The sequence below is a fragment of the Homo sapiens genome, chromosome 1, assembly GCF_000001405.40.
Source record: "Homo sapiens chromosome 1, GRCh38.p14 Primary Assembly".
In the NCBI taxonomy this organism is placed as follows: domain Eukaryota; kingdom Metazoa; phylum Chordata; class Mammalia; order Primates; family Hominidae; genus Homo; species Homo sapiens.
Window position 1 is genome coordinate 241,736,399 of NC_000001.11, and position 17,797 is coordinate 241,754,195.

Below are 17,797 nucleotides of genomic sequence, written 5' to 3' on the forward strand. Positions count from 1 at the left end.
TCTTTATGGAAGAGTTTAAAAAAAAAAAAAAAAAAGAGTAGGAGTTAGCTAGATAGAGAAGGCCTTTGAGAGGAAATTGCAGATGAAAGGAAGAGTTTGTGTGAATGCACAGAGACCAGAATAAGAAGGTTTTTGGAAATGCAAAACACTTCGGTATGACAGTAGCAAAGAAGGCATATAGGGAGAGGGGCAGCAAAAAACCCTAGAGGGTAGGAGCAGTATGACGCAGAAGGTTTTTGTGCCTCCCACAGCCCAGCAACTGCCACTTCTCTAAAACATACAGGAAAGACCCGAAGAACTGCACAATGAAGAAGAGAAAGAAGGCAAAAGCAAACATAATAACTCTATAGAGAACATCACAGATTTCAAAACATAATCACATCAATTAAATAAGGTGAATGGTGCTGATGTCATCATGGCCATTCAAGAAACAAGAAAACTGAGACTCAAGGAGTTTAAGTGATGAACTAGAATTGAAACCCTAATCCTCCTTTGCCTAGTCTCTTGTTCTTTTTGTCAGTTACAATTCAGAGTGTATATACATACAGCAGAAAGACTGCCCACCATGAACATACCTTAGCCAAGGCAATAAAATAAAAAACAGTTTGCATAGAAACACATTTTTTGGTGAATTCCTTGAATCCACTTTTGTGTCTCTTCCTCTACTTGTCTCTCATTCTATGCTCTGGATTGAAATTCATATAATCCATTATACTTGTTTACTTTATGATACAAAAGGCTGAAAAGGCTCAATGTTCTATCTACTCCTCCAAAATTGGCATTTTCACTAGAACAAAGAAAATAAATTTCAATGGTACAAGTTCTGATAATACTAGCCTACAGAGGGTTTACATTTGAGCAAAAGCTCCTCACCAATGTTCTCCAAGTCACGGGACCCAGACAACTTTGTGTTCTTACATATGAGGACTAACTTGCCTTAGCAATAGTGAAGATTTGAACCTAATTAACTTATAATGAACTCAATTATAAGTGCCTCAAATTAGAAGTTAGTAGCTCTCTTAACTAAACTACTTACTGAAGTTTTACATGTAGTTCTGTTAATGGTCACCCATTTACTCAACAAATACTCCAAATTAATAGGTTAATAAATTTACTATAACATGAAAATATTATTTAAGGGCTGACGTAGAGCTAGAAAATGTAATTTCCCCCCAGCTTCTACAACTGAAGAAATGTAATTATTGATCAATCAACACTTATTTCTGAAATTCAATAACACCACTAACCTACTAAAAAAGCAGAATAGTGAAGAGGCTAAGACCAGTTCTTTCAGATCACAGACTTAACCTAGTTTTGCAGAATTTGTACTTCATTGTTCTTTCTATTCTCTGATATCAACTTAAGTTCTATTTGAGTAATTATATAGTTATCTTTCCTCCCTCAAAGGATAGTTTGAAAAACCTATATTCTCATACTCCTAGTGTGTCTATACCATCCCTAAAAACTGCTTTTATAATTCTTACATATCTGGGCAAATGGAGAGGGAGGTTTTTAGTAACTTCACTTAGTAAGATGTTCCCATCGTCATAAGAGAGCAATTTGAAAGCTTCCACGTAAAATATGTCTTCTCCCTATTTTCTCATCCATAATACAAAGAGAAATGTGACTTTAATTCAACAGTAAGTCATGATCTTTTATTATTCCTCCACATTCTTAAAGAGTAATAAATACTATGTTCCTTCCCTATAATGATAGAAAAAATCCAATTCCTAAAGGTATACCTTTAAGCAAAGTAATCACTGCTGCTATTTTCCTCTGATATTAATGAACAATAATCCAACCCAGAACTAAATTGGAGCTTAGCAAATGCATGCTTATCATATAAGTAATACTTTGGTATAAGTTTATAAGAGTGTATTTCAAACTGAAAATGCTTCACCTAAATATCTTGGGTGAGAAAGGTGAGTATAAATAGTGGTAAACTGTGTTTGTTATTCTTCCAGGTTTTCCGGGTGTGGGATATACAAACTCTTTCACTATTACAAGTCTTCCATGACAGCCAGGGAGGACCAGGAGACATGCAGATTTACTCTATGATATATGATGCCAATCATGGCATGCTTATTACGGGTAAGTGTACCCAATTAATGTCAAACGAAACTCATGTCTTGATTTTTAACCTTTTTTTAAACTAGCACTTGAGCACTAACTACAAGGAAAACAAAACTAGAAGGGTAATTTATCAAACCATGATTCGTGACAGTAGATATTTAATTCAATTCTGCTCTTTCCTATATATTTCTGTGGCTGGATGATTGAAATGTGTAACTGCACTTTTCTGAAAATACCAGGTTGGTTATTGCTTTAAGTTCTTGAACCTAGGAAGAAAGTTCTATTTGAGTAATTCTATAGTTATCATTCCTCCCTGAAAGGATAGTTTTAATAATCTGAAAACACCAGGTTATTGCTTTAAGTTCTTGGACCTAGGAAGAAATGCCTGGGCTAAGCAAAGAAGTGGGATGTATGTAACTTGTTGCTATGTATAGGGCAAATCCAGCTCCCACACACAGCTCTGTTTTGACTCTGGAGCAGGAATATGATCCTATTTTACAGCGGCTGCACCAGCGTACCGAGTCAATGCCCCTTTTCTGCAGTGAGGAAATTTGGGCCCATGCCATTCTGATAACGAGTCACTACTCAGTAGGAAAAGTGCTGACACCTTCACCAGCCTTTGCCTCTCGACGAAGACCAATGGAGAGTGAGGATAGAGTCCCAGTGCTGATGCCAACAGATTTGTTGCTGATTTTTCTTGTGGCCTCTTAGAAAGACATGCCTACTAAAGAAACAAGGGGCCCTGCTAGACATCTAGGTTGAGCACTTTTTATATGCATACCTTTAGGCTTCAGGATAAAAATGCATTATATTAATAGTAGGTCCTCCTTCTAGAAGCCAAAATGAGTGAATTTCCTAAGCATTTTCCCACTGGCCAGCTGCTCTGAGTTCCTGTGGGATTAATTAAGGCAGGGAAGAGGTTGGTGCTATCTCTGCTGGTGGAGAATGTAATTATTTTTGACATTCAGTGTTTTTATTTCCTGGATTAGGAGTGAACTAGCACTTCATACTTGATAAAGAACTTTCCACATTATAAAACAGGACTTAGTTTTAGTTGTAAACACCTATTCTCTGTTTTACCTCCTCTAAAAGGAACATAATAATGACTATAAGCAAATTTTCTCTCAGTGCCCCAATTTGCATATTTGATTACTAGGCTTAGCATTTCCATCCCATTTATCATCATAGTCACTAAGGACTCAAATAGTAAGGCAAAGAAGAAAAAGAAAAAGAAGACAGAAAAATCAAGATTTCTTCCCAATTTTGTATCATTCTGATAGCACCTCTGTTTGCAAAAATATAAAGCTCTGTGTATTGTTCAATCACCAAAACTGCAGACACTTACTGCAACCATGAACTTGACATCAGAATTACATGAAGCTTATGTCTAGGATTTTAATTCATTCTTTGATTCAAATGAAGCAACCATCAGTCCTCTAAATCCCAATGACAGTAGCACCACGTTCTAGAAATGCTTTGTATTTTGTTGCTGCTGTCACTGTTGTTATCATTATTACTTTTATTAAGACAACTACCATTACAATCATCTATTTTTTTCATTTGATCTGCACAGCCACCATATGAGGTAGTAATTATTTTTTCTATTTTATAAATGGAGAAACTGAATCTCAAACAGCCCAGCTGACTAGTGGCAGGACACAAGGTTAAAACATAGAACTGAGATTCAATATCAGAGCTTCTAACTCTGGACTCCACATTCTTTCTCAGCACTGCATCATTTCTATAGCAGCAGTGTAACTAGCCAAAAAGTAGAAGATTGCCAGTTTTCCATAAGCATATCAAGATTTGTTGACGTCCATTCTGAATGAAGTCAGTTACTGTCACTGTAATGAAAAGGATCTACCAAAAGGTCCAAGTATGATTTGACTATCTGGTTACCATATTCTGCTCACATTTCCATGTTAAGGTATCTGAACTGAGAAATACAACCAGATGAGCCATCTCAGTCCGTATTTACACATGAACAGGTTTTATCTTAAAATTTAAACACTTCAGAGAGTGTTTAGTAACTCCTGTAGAAACTTCTCCTAAAGTTGAGAATTCTTTGGAGAAACTTGAGAAACTCAATGCAAAATCTGCCTTATTAACTTAATCTTTACATCGATAAAATCAGGAAGAAATTTCAGTTTTGCTTGAGCCACAGGAATGCTCTGAGATTCTTTTTTTTTTTTTAATCTTAATTTTTATTTTTTTGAGAAGGAGTCTCGCTCTGTCGCCCAGGCTAGAGTGCAATGGCATGACCTCGGCTCACTGCAACCTCCCTCCGGGGTTCAAGTGATTCTCCTGCCTCAGCCTCTCGAGTAGCTGGGATTACAGGCACCCACCACCATGCCCGGCTAATTGAGATTCTTATTAATATTTCTAGACATTACACTAAAACAGAGCTGCAGTTAATTTTGATACTTATATCATACTTAGAAAAATGCAAGTAAAGCATACCTGCTCCTCATCTACTTCTACTTTACAGTGGTGATTTAGAAATTAATCTTATTTTTATATTGATGTTGCAAGCACTGGCTTGTGATCATTCTCATTTGTTACATTTAATAAGACCATGTTTACAGAGTGCTTTATCAATTTATTGGTTGAAAGGGGCTCTCTAACAATAAATTTCCACCACTAAGAGGAGGCTAACCTTCAGCAGAAAGCTGGTCATCACCACTATTGCTGTGCAACAGATGGAGAGGCATGCTGCAGGCACAATAAAAGAGAGAAGTGGACTATGAAATATAGGAAAATGAGGTTCACTAAAAAGGATATCAATGAAGTCCAAATGGCCTGCACTTGAAAAATAATCCAGTCCAAAATGAATGCTTTTCTGTGGCTGAATCGTATGTGCTTTATCTGTCAAAAATGTTCTAGAATAAATGAAAATATTCTCACCTCATTACATTTCCTAGGCATTGATTGATATTGCTAATCTCACTGTTTGGCTGTTTCCAAACCCAACTGCTTGGCTGAAACCCTTTGTGATTAGAAACTTCTAATATTGCATATTTATGAGATTCTTACTTCTGTTCCAGGATCTAGTGTTATGGACATGTATCCTTTGACTAGGATGATACAAGATACAAAACAGGTTCCTCACACTCATGAACGAGAAATCAATGTCATGCTTTACAACAAATATTTTCATCAAGTACTCACTATCTGCTCTGAATCCATAATTAGGGTAAGTACCTATTGGCTTTTCAAACAGAAAAAAAGGCAATGCAGATATAATTTTCTGTTCTTAAAATAAATCATTGAGTGATTAAGCAAATGTAGCGGCACATACGATGAGACCATACATTAGAATGATTTTTAAGCTTCCATGAGTACGTGAAAAACAAGCGTTTTAATTAAGCCAGTTCAGACTGCTTGCCATCAACCCACATGCTCAATTGAATAAACACAGCTAGTTTTCACAATCAAAATAGGAATTTTAAAGGAAATATATCAAGAAGACAGAACTAGTCTGCATTTTGATTTTTTTAAAGGAGTACGGGAAGAGGATTTATGTTAAGAAGGAAGGGGAATAAATTTATAGGTGTTTACTGTAACCCCTGTAGATTCAGAATACGTACCAAGAGCTTTAAGTCTCTGTGATCTGCTTTAATCTTCACAACAGTTCTCTGTGAACAGATAAAGAGTTTTTATTTTAAAGATGAGGAAATCAGGGCTTAGAGAGATCAAGCAACATAGCTGGCATAAGCATGACGGCTGGAATATGAACCCAAGTTTTTCTGATGTAAGCACCCATGCCCTTTCTGCTGCATTTCCTCCAGCCCAGCTGCCAGAGGCATTTGAACCACAGCAACTCCATCTTGAATGAGGCTGGGTAAAATGAGGCTGAGAGCTACTGGGCTGCATTCCCAGATGGTTAGGCATTCTAAGTCACAGAGTGAGACAGGAGGTTGGCACAAGATACAGGTCATAAAGACCTTGCTGATAAAACGAGTTGCAGTAAAGAAGCCAGCCAAAACCCACCAAAACCAAGATGGCGACGAGAGTGACCTCTGGTCATCCTCACTGCTACACTCCCACCAGCACCATGACAGTTTACAAATGTCATGGCAACGTCGGGAAGTTACCCTACATTGTCTAAATAGGGGAGGCATGAATAATTCACCCCTTGTTTAGCATGTCATCAAGAAGTAACCATAAAAATGGGCAACCAGCAGCCCTAAGGGGTTGTTTATGGAGTAGCCATTCTTTGTTCCTTTCCTTTCTTCATAAACTTGCTTTCGCTTTACTCTGTGGACTTGCCTTGAATTCTTTCTTGTGTGAGATCCAAGAACCCTCTCTTGGGAGTCTGGATCAGGACCCCTTTCCCATAACACGGCCATCACAGCATTTCCTAGAGGCCAGGGGTCCTGGCCATGCTAACCGTGTCCATCATTACGGCCACTGAAGTCATCCGGCAGTGATGGCTGGAGGTGTTTGCTTCAGGTGTTGGTCCTTTCATTTCATGCATGCCCTCCAAAAGGAGACGTGTGGACTAGCAGACAGCATTCCTCTGGGGACCCTTCAAATTACCTCTCAGTCTCTGACTTCTGTGATCGTTTGCTGGAGATTTTCTCAAGTGAGAATCTCCTGAGTTCATTGTATTAGTGCATTTCTGGTAATGCCTAAAGAGAGAGGTAGAGGAAAACGAAAGCTGAAACCTGTCCTGCTTTTGTGCAATCAGTATTTTGTGCAGTCACCTCTTATGGGGAAAATGTCATCCCTGTGTGGGAAAAAAGAGTGGGAGGACCACATGAAGGTGAGTTTTCATGCCAGGTTGGTTGGAGAGGGATCACACTGCAGGCCAGGAGATGGGTGACCCCTGAGACCCATTCATGCAATGACCCACATTTCTCTTTCTCCCTTAAGAACCCTGTCTATAATCAGGGACACGCAGAGGTTAAAAGTACGGACTCTAGGGCCAGACTGACTTCACTCAAATCCCAGCTCTACCACTTCCCGGCAAGTGGCCCTTCATTATCAGGCCCCCAGACTATCTCATCAGCTCCATCCCCTCCGCACTCCCCCTCTTACCCAGCTAAAGTGGCTTGCTTTCCATTTCCTGGAGGAAAGATGAACTTTCTCACCCCTGGCACTTTGCATATGCTGTCCTCTCCGCCACAATACCTAGAGTGCAATCATTCTGTGTTGCCAGTTCAGTGCTGTCACTAACTGGCAGTGCAATTTACATCTGAACATGGCAACTCCATGAAGGAGAGACTTAGACAGAAAATCTGCAGGTCTAAGGCCTCTACTGTGTTTCCAGAGAGAGATAATGATGACTCTTGAGTCTTGACATGTCTCTAGAATTTCTGATTACACCCATCCTAATTACACAGATGGCCTCCTCTGAGGTCAGTCTCTTTCTCTCTGTCTCTCTCTTTCTCTTTGTGTATGTGTCTCTCCCTCCCATTCTCTCTCTCACTGGGCCCATGTCTCTAGTCAGAACATTCCTAGGAAAGGTCGGTGAGCTCTTTCCTCAGGGTTCTTCTCTCAGGTCCCATGCTATTAACCACAGATCCTGTCCCATGATCCCTGGATAACTAGGATGAGTGTCACCAGGGAATAAATCCAGTTCATATTTCTTTTGTCTGCTGAGCTTGCAATTGTTCCATTTCTAACCTTGCTTCAGGCTTACAGTACCAACTGACCACTTCTTCCATGGCCAGGGGCTGCCTGGAATAGAGTCCCTGCCTGTCTCAGCCCCTACATTTGCAGCAGACACAGTAACTATTAAATGCACTTTATCTTTTAGAACTTTCTTTGATAAAACCAACATTCAGGGCAGAGCGCTAGGAAATGTGTTAGATGTACAGAGTTCCATTTTTGAGGCTGTTTTGAATATGGTGTAATTCTGATGAGAATTGAAGGGCTTCTTCAAACGGATTACTTGATATTTTCGTTCTTTCCCATAGGTATGGGAACTCGAGACTGGGCTCCAAGTATACCAGATTTTAGAACCTCATGGTTTCAATACTGAAGTGACTTCTGCAGCTGTCGATGAAAGTGGATTTCTTTTTGCCACAGGAGCGTATAATGGTCAGACTAACATCCAGAATGTGGCGTCCCTGCTTTAGTGTCCTGAGAATTTCCGCCAAAAACTCTTTCGTTCTTTAGGGTAGAAGGAGAGCATGAAGCAGGCTGGACTATGTCTGGGTGCCAGTGAAATTCCTGTGCCTGGGTGAATAGTGGTAGAGTCCCTTATCTAACAGGCATCAATGTCTTGATATGATGTTAAAAATAATTCCTCACATTGCATTTACATAGTTGCTTTAACAGTTTGCAGAAGTCTTTTGCATATGACATCTCATCTAATCTGTGTTGCACTGACTCATCCTATCTTTCCACTTTTGGGTACCATCAGCCAAGAGACAGACATCAGATTCAGTGCTTGCTAACAATAATTTTACCGACAGTAGATTTCTGGACCAGACAAAACATCCAGCCAACTTTGTCACATTACTCCTATATTGGAATTCTATATTGGCATTGTTCATATGTCTAGCCTTCGTGAGGGCATGTTCCATGCCAAACTTGAGAGGATGCCAGGCCCAGGTTGGGCTAGGCCGTTTGGTGTGCCTTACGCTATGGAGCACTGGTAGGACTTCCAGGAACTGAAGAGCTACAGACTGCCCTGCCTTTCACCCCACTCACGACATACTAAATGAAAGAACTGCTTTATCTAGACCATATGACCGATTGCATGAGCTACTCTGAATATATTTACCCTAGGCCTATACGCATAAGCCAGTTGATGACTCGAGTGAGCATCCTGATGTGTGAAAGTCTCACTTTTAAAAGTGTGAGCAGATGACAACAGCACGTGAAATAAAATCATGAATGCTGAGTTGATGGGGTATGAATAAATGCAACTGCCCTTCACGTGGATCGGTTCTTGAGAAAGCAGTCTTAACTGTTCCATAAGCACACCCTGCATAGACATGAAATGTGGTTGTTGAGATTCTGAGCAATGTACACAATTATTATCAGGCAGAAGCATTAAGCAATTCAATATATGACTGACAATAGTATTGTTTATATGCAAGCAAGCCATATTTTACATTGTTAGTTCTAGAACCTAGAATTCTTTCAGATATTGAGTTTGTCCTCCTCAAAGGTACATACGTTAAATTTATTTTATTGTGTTTATTTATTTGGAGTCAGAGTCTCACTGTGTTGCCCAGGCTGGTCTTAAAGTCCTGGCTTCAAGTGATCCTCCCTCCTTGGCCTCCCGAGTTGCTGGGATTACAGGAGTGAGCCACTGTGCCAAGCCCTCTCTGTTAAATTGACAGAGATCCAGGACACCCTGGGAAGTGAGATTCTGACTCCCAGAGAAGTTCAAACCACAAGCCACTGGTCTCCTCGCATTACTACCCACCCATCACCTGGGAAAAGCTGAGGAGTACGTCTCTCTGCTCTCAGCTCCACTAAATCTGACTGCCCAAGTCCCAAGGTAGCAGGAAATCTGGACAAGGAGATTGTCCTCTGCATAACCCAGCAATGTATGAGAACACGATAATGTCTTTTAATTGTTTGTGTGACTGTTTTCCTATAATGCCACAGAGTCCTTGAGGGTAGGCACTATGATTATTCATTAAATATCCCCAGCTCCTACCACAGTGCTGGGTATATAGGGAGTATTTAATCAATGTTTAATGATGTTCCAACAAATACTGGGGGTGTGAGTGTTGCTGATGGGGAGAACCTGGTGTAGGGGAAGGAAAATAGTGCAGTGAAAACACTCTGGGTGTCGAGCAGGATTCGAGCTGAGGGATAAGAAATGGGGTAGGGTTAAAGGAGGAGAGGAAAAGACCTGTGGTTCACTGGAGTCTGAATCTGAGGTGACCACTATAAAAGCTCATGTGAGAAGAGAATTCTCTACTCTGAGCAATGACCTAGAAATAGGCATTCCACAACTGTACTGTTTATCATCCCTCTGGCCCCTTCTTCCAGGTCCCCCAAAGCAAATGAATGAAGTTAACAATAAAGAAAGTGTCTCCATCCATTTGAGCTGCTACAACGGAATACCATAGAGTGGGTGGTGTTTTAAAAAAAAAAGTTTATAGCAGATTTATTGATAATAACCAAAAACTGAAAAAAAAAAAATTTTCAACAGATGACTGGTTAGACAAACTGCAGTAGAACAATACAGTGGAATACTGTAGTTATTACAAGTAATACAAAGAAACAAGCTAGTTATATTTGCATCAGTTTGAATGAATCTGAAAGGCACTAACAAAAGACAAAAGCCAATCTTAAAAGGTCACGTATTCCATTTCAGTTCTTTTTTTTTTTTTTGTGATGGAGTCTTGCTTTGTCACCCAGGCTGGAGTGCAGGGGCGCAGGGTCTCGGCTCACTGCAACCTCCGCCTCCTGGGTTCAAGTGATTCTCCTGCCTCAGCCTTCTGAGTAGCTGGGACTACAGATGCCTGCCACCATGCCCAGCTAATTTTTGTATTTTTAGTAGAGACAGGGTTTTGCTATGTTGCCCAGGCTGGTCTCGGAACTCCTGACCTCAAATGATCTGCCCGCTTTGGCATCCCAAAGTGCTGGGATTACAGGCGTGAGCCACCGCACCCAGCCAATAACATTCTTAAAATAACAAAGTAAGATGTCTTCAAAATGACAAACTTTTAGATAAGTAAAACAGAACAGCTTAGTGATTACCAAATAGTGACGGCGGGGGTGGTGGTGACTATGAAGGTTAGCACAAGGAAGTTCCTGTGGATTGATGGAACATTTCTGTATATTGGTTGTGCAAATTTATACATACGGTAAAATTGTGAAGAACTAAACGCATACACACACGAGTGCACGTAAAAAACTGGTAAAATCTGGACAAGGTCTGTAGTCTAGTTAATGGGATTTTCTAATGTCAATTTGCTTGTTTTAGGATTATACCGTAGTCACATGGGCTGTAAGCAATGGGGGAAGTTGGGAAAAGGTACACAGGACTCTACTATTTTTGCAACTTTCTGTTTCTTTTTATTTTTCAAAGTTCAAAATAATGTAGAAAGTTAACAAATTTTGCCAAACACTGAAACACTGATACAAATCTTTAAATTTGTACATTAGTTGAGGTCTCAAATGTCGTGTATCAGATTAATTAAAATGCTTTAAGCACTATCAGAATTGGAGCTGACAGTGTCTCCTTGGTATGTAATAAGATGGAAAGAGTGTTGGGCCCATACTGACATCTAGAAAAAAAGCAAGCTGATCTATGAAATCAGAACTTTTCTTGAACCTATGCGAGAATCGATGTTGCAGGCAAATAGCCTGAAATCGAAGGAAAGACACAGGAAGGAAAGACTTCCTGGGAAAGACAGGCACTTCCGCGGAAGGCAGGACACAATTACTGTCTTACCTAGGGCAGTGATGAGAAGGAAATTGGGCTGGCATTCAGGTGGGTGAGAATGTAGTCAAATTTGTAAGAATTGCTGAGATCTGAGTGTAGGATAGCATGAGAGTACAGCGCTTCTAAAAGCCAGAAACACAAAGGGACTGTGCGTCCATTCCCATGCTCCTCACAGAGCTCGTCACATGTCACACAGTGCTGGCCTCCCTCATGGTGCAGATGTTGGGGAGAGGAACAGCCAACACTGTGGAGCCACAGAAAGTCCCACCAGCATCCGTCTTACCGACAAAGCAAAAGCCTAAGCCACTGAGGGAAGGGCAGCAAACCCTCCTGCTGATACTGTAGATGAAGACCTATTGTAAGGGAGAAAAAGCTGAGCAAATTCTTCTCTACCTCTTGAGGGGAGATAGGAAAACCTCCTGGGCTCAGACCATTTGACATGCCTTACCACTCAGGGCAGGAGGACTGGGGGTTTTTCAACAACAGAAATTGATTTCTCTCAGTTCCGGAGGCTGGGAAGTTCGAGATCAAGGCGCTGGCAGATCTGGTGTCTGGCAAGGGCCCGCCTCCTGGTTTATAGATGGTGCCTTCTCATTGTGTTCTCACATGACAAAGGGGCAAGGCAGATCCTTGGGGCCCATTTTGTTACTTACTTTTCTTTTTTTGTCTGAGCCACAGCAGATCTCAATTTGGGGCCTTTTTTATAAAGGCACTAATCCCATTCATGAGGGTTCTACCCCCATGACCTAATGATCTCCAAACACCATCACGTTGAGGTTTAGGTTTCAAACAGAAAGTATAATTTTAAGTGTAAGAAAAACACTTGGCCGGGCACGGTGGCTCCTGCCTGTAATCCCAGCACTTTGGGAGGCCGAGGAGGGCAGATCATGAGGTCAGGAGATCGAGACCATCCTGGCTAACATGGTGAAACCTCGTATCTACTGGAAATACAGAAAAATTAGCCGGGTGTGGTGGTGGGCGCCTGCAGTCCCAGCTACTCTGGAGGCTGAGGCAGGAGAATGGTGTGAACCCAGGAGGCGGAGCTTGCAGTGAGCCGAGATCGCCACTGCACTCCAGCCTGGGTGACAGAGTGAGACTCTTGTCTTAAAAAAAAAAAAAAGAAAGAAAGAAAGAAAAAGAAAAGAAAAGAAAAGAAAAACACTCGACACTTTTCTTTCACTTTCCTCCCACGTAACCAACAAAACCACTCCAAGCTTGGCAGTTTCTTACCGGCTGGGATTCCCTCCAACTTTTTATTATCTAATAAGAGCTAAAGTCCTAAAACATGTCAGCACATTAGGAAATGTGACAGATTACTGGAATGATCTTTCACTGTGAATAATAGTCGTGGCATGGTAGCGAATATTCCCATGTTCGGGACTGGGTGTTTAGCACACTGAGAAGCGTTGGGAGAATAACAACAGAAGAGACTCACTTTAGAGCAAAAGCTTAGTAGGAGAGCCTGAGGGTAGATTTCAAGGCGTTGCCTGGTCCTGTTTATTTATTTATTTTTTTCAGCCTGTGACAAATCAAGGCATAAAGGAATAAATTTCATGCACAGCAAGCCTGGGAAGACTCACCCATCTGAGTAGGGAATAAATATAGGATAAATTGTTGGCAGAAAGCTTTCGATCGGATGAATTTTCTCTGAGCGAAAAGCCAAGCTTTCTCTAAGTCATTTTTACCCACATAGTCTTTTTCTCTGTATGCTCAGGAACAGTCAGAATCTGGGACTTTGGCAGTGGGCAGGAGATGAAGGTGTTGCCGGAGGGGAAAGACTGGAAGGAGGACGAGCACTGCCTACGACGCCTCATTTTCCTCAAAGCCCAAGAAAAACACCAGCAGCTGGTCCTGGCCTTGGAGCGCAACGGGACTATCAAAATGATCCAGGTTTACAATCCCACTTCATACTCGTACTGCAGGTGCCCTTTTTGGGAAAATCAAATGAGTCAGTGGATAATCCCCACCATGTAACCCCGCTCTTGGTAGCCAGCTGAAGATGGTATTTATCCTCAGCCTTCCCGTGATGCTCCTCATTAACTTTGCCCAGGTTTAGGCAAAGAGCAAAAAACAATCGCTGCCCAGCCACGGCATGCTGCCCATCAAGCTTCCGCTGAAGGGTTAGTCAGGGTCTCCTAAGGCAGGTGTCAGGAAGGCTAAATTTATACTCAGCTGCCACCTCTGACATGCTTTATACGCTCATATGGGAATAATTCACTGGCAGAACTGCTTTCCAGCAGGCTCTGTCCCTTATAACCCATAATGCATTCAGGAATGCTCAAGTCACTTTTCCAGTTTGTCACCAAAATCGCTTTGTTTATTTTAAGGTTAATGACGCAATCTGCTCAGGGCTGTTTGGGGAGGATTGAGGTAGGCTAATTTATTTTTCCTATGACTCTATTACCACCTGGGAATGCTAATGCCCTCTTCAAATTTATAATGAAGACTAGATCATTTATCCTGGCTATTGAGCGGATCTCACCCCATCACCTCGAACTCAAGAACTCATTGCCTTTACCCTTTTGAAAGCTAAGATCAGAAAAGAAAAGTCTTGTATAGCACAGCAATCATGAAGCACCAGCTTAAGATAACTGATGACCTAAGAATGGGGAAAAAGGAGTGAAAAACCTGCCTGATGTAATATACTCTTCTCTTGTCTGAGTAATCCAAAATGGCACTGTAGAAAGGAATTTCTTAGTAATAATACACTCTACAATGAACGAAATGTTGACTTTTGCTTTACAAAGTGCCATTGTTCATCAGGATGCCCTTCCTACCAGACAATGTCTGTTGTCACAAATGCTCCTTTTTTAAGGGCTGCAAAAAGTAGCATGGAACTATTCACTCACCAAAATTGTTTTTAGTTCTACTGTAGCATTTTTCACATTGATTATTCTGGTTCTGCATTTAGAACCTGCAGATTGATCTTGGTAGGAACTGAAAACCTCTCTTATTTATATTTGTATTCTTGGCCATGCCCAGAGTAGGTGCTCATTAAGGATTAAAATAATTTTAAAAATAAATAGAGAAAGAACCTCTTCTAAAGTAGACAATAGTACATTTATGAGGGGTATTTGGAGAACTTTTATTAATGTTGGAGCGGGCAGCTTTATAATATAATGTTGAAAGTATCCTTATTTACTTATTATTATTAGTGTATTACTATTATTTACTTTATTATTATATCTGCCTATTTGAAATAAAATAATTTGATTTACATACTTATTTTCTAGAATACTTTCATTCATTCATTTTTTTCAATGACCAGTTACCAAATATTTGCCATGTTCCAGAAGGATATTCCCTTTCACCATGAAATGCATAATTTAATAAGGGGGCAGTGATCCACCTACTACAAGTGTTGTGAGTGCTTTCACAAAGTGTCTCAGAAGCTTGTATGGTGGGATGGTTGTCAGACTAATCTGGTAGCCAGGCCATTTTTTTTCCAACTAAAAAGGGAACAAGCTTTATAATAAATTTCTTTCCCTAAATTCCAAACCCCATTTCTCTGTTTGCCCAGAAACTGGAAGGTGGGCAGGTGGAAGTTGGAGCTGAGAGTGGAATGGAGGAAAGATAAACCCAACCTCTATCTCTCTATCTTCCTAGATTCCCAGCTGCCTTAAAAACAAAAACAAAAACAAAAAAACAAACACCCCCATCCCGGCTCCACAAAACCAAAAAGCCAAAACCTGCTTCAGTGATCACATTCAGTTATTCAGGAAACATCGCTGATGCATTATGAGCTGAGAAGGGTCTCCAAAGTATCATGTACTTTTAAATGTGTTCAGACAGTCCTTAACGGCTTAAATATAATATCTCTCTTATGCTTCTGTTCTTGGTTTTATTTTCTCAAGTCTCAGAAAAACCCTTGTGCAACTGCCCGCTCTGGGCACAAATCATCACTGTGCTGAATATTCTGGGCATGATTTCCTAGCCACGTAACAAGAGGGCAGACCGTAAATTGACTGGTCTATTAATACAACTTCATAGAAAACAAGAGAAGAAAACAACAATTCTTCTCATAATCTCAGTTTTAAGGGGATAGAATTGCATTCTGCCTATATGAAACCTTTGGCAAATTTGAGAAAAATTTGCCCCCAAGCCATTGTTGACAAAACCATAGGTTGGTGAGAGATTACTGTTCTAACATGATAAACAAAGCACTATGGGGGTTCCAGGAAGATGATTAATTGACCCCAAAATCATTCAAATTCTAAAGACCCACTTACTTCCCTTCCTTTTAACCACAGTGCTTTATGAATCTACTCATATAGCTGTATTTCTGTGTCCTTTAAAGTAAATGATCTTTCTTTATGAAGCAATTAACATAATAATGCTCTTAGCATTATATGAACTGCTGTTTTCCTAATCAATTCCTAAAGACCTACCAGCCAATTCCAATATAACATAAAAGATTTCACCAATTAGAGATGAAATGTAGAAAATAAGGGTAACTTTTCACAAAGCTACTTTTACTTCATTTAAATTTTAAGATTATATCTTTCCTACTGTTTTATATTACTATAGCCTTTCTTTTCATAAAATAATGGTAGTAGAGTTTCCCATCTCCTTCTCCCTCATGTCCTCACTTGGTAAAATTGAATGTTGGTAACTCTAGGTCAATCTTCAAAAGGTGTTTTGTAAATTCTGCTGCTCTGTGAATTCAGAAAGTCTGAGAGCCACTGTCATAGGAGGTTCCATTGAAACCGGTTAAACCTATTAAAAACCACTGTTGGGCTGGATATAGTGGCTCATGCCTGTGATCTCAGCACTTTGGGAGGCCAAGGCAGGAGGATAGCTTGAGGTTAGGAGTTTGAGACCAGCCTGGGCAACATAGTGAGACACCATCTCTACCAAAAAATGTAAAAATTAGCCAGGCATGGTGTCACACACCTGTAGTCTCAGCTACTTGGGGAGCTGAGGTGGGAGAATTGCTTGATCCTGGGAAGTCAAGGCTGCAGTGAGCCAAAATTGCACCACTGCACTCCAGCCTGGGCGACAGAGCAAGACTCTGTCTCAAAAAGACACACACACAAAAAACAAACCACTGTCAATAACTCATACCACCAGGTGGGCACATAAATCTAACTAAGCTATTACTCAGTGTCAATATCTGGTCACTCTTGAGATATTGCTGAGATTCATTCCTTCTATCCCACAATGGCACAAACTGTAAACAAAGAATCCACCAGTACGTAGGAGTACTATGGGCCCATACTTTTAAATTAACATGGATATGAAGTAACAGAGGCCTTAGGGCAACACCTAAAATCAAAGCTTTAAAAAATGGAAGGACTTTTATCCATCAACTAGCTAAAGCCCTCATTTTGCAAATAAGAAAAATAGGGCCAAAGAAGGTATGTACCTTGCCCGAGGTCCCACAAGAACTAAGACTAGAAACTGGCTGTCTTCACTCCTAGACCAATATTCTCTCCACTTTTCCATAGCTGCTTTTCAACATAGAAAGAGTCCTGTTCTGCAAGCAAAATAATTGACCTTAAAATTTTGACTTTTATTCTCATATAACAATTCAAAAATTAAAAATTAATGGCCTCTCATCAATAATAACCAGTTAGAAAATATAAATATGGCCCAGCATGGTGGCTCACGCCTGTAATCTCAGCAGTTTGGAAGGCCAAGGCAGGCAGATTGCTTGAGGCCAGGAGTTCAAGACCATCCTGGCCAATATGGCAAAACTCCATCTCTACAAAAAATACAAAAATTAGCCGGGTGTAGTGGTGCATGCCTGTAGTCCCACCTACCTGGGAGACTGAGGTGGGAGGATCACCTGAGCCTGGAAGGCAGAGATTGCAGTGAGCCAAAATAGCACCACTACACTCCCGACTGGGCGACAGAGCAAGGCACTGTCACACACACTCACGAAAGAAAACATAAAGATAGTACAGGTGGAATAAATGATCACATCACAATAGCAAACAAAAGTATAAGGTACCTAAAATAAACGTAGCAAGAACCATGCAAAAGTTTTGTGGAAATAAATCTTAAAGGATGTGAAAAAAATCTGAATAAATGGAGAGATATACCACATCCACAGATGGGATATGGCAAAGGTATCATTATTACATTCAAATTAAAAATAAAAGCTTGTCTAAAAAAACAAAGTGAAAAGACAAGTCACAGACCGTGAAAAGACCATTGCACTCTAGCTAACTGAAGAAGGGTTAGGAACCAGGATATATAAAGAAACCCCCAAAATGCAGAAAAAAAACTCCACAGATTAGAAAAATGAACAAAGGACAGGTAAGGAAATCCAGATGGCTCGCAGACACATGAAAAAATGTTCAACTCACAACACTCAGGGAAATATGATTAATTTAACTAATATGTTTAAAAATTAGTTTT

The 17,797-nt window shown here is 40.4% G+C and overlaps 1 protein-coding gene and 1 long non-coding RNA gene across 9 annotated transcripts in view; one reads left to right on the plus strand and one right to left on the minus strand.

Annotated features, from left to right (window-relative positions):
- The window catches only part of LOC124904603 (uncharacterized), an 81,624-nt gene extending 75,775 nt beyond the window's left edge, over positions 1–5,849 (minus strand). For both annotated transcript variants that reach the window (XR_007067055.1, XR_007067054.1), the window contains exon 1: positions 5,661–5,849. This is a non-coding gene — a long non-coding RNA (uncharacterized LOC124904603). The remainder of the gene's footprint in view (positions 1–5,660) is intronic.
- Positions 1–17,797, plus strand: part of WDR64 (WD repeat domain 64) — a 150,497-nt gene that overhangs the window by 84,118 nt on the left and 48,582 nt on the right. For all 7 annotated transcript variants that reach the window (NM_001367482.1, XM_011544087.3, XM_011544091.2 and 4 more), the window contains 4 exons: positions 1,965–2,091; positions 5,118–5,266; positions 7,995–8,118; positions 13,149–13,324. In NM_001367482.1, coding sequence (NP_001354411.1) covers positions 1,965–2,091; positions 5,118–5,266; positions 7,995–8,118; positions 13,149–13,324 — 576 coding nt within the window. The remainder of the gene's footprint in view (positions 1–1,964; positions 2,092–5,117; positions 5,267–7,994; positions 8,119–13,148; positions 13,325–17,797) is intronic.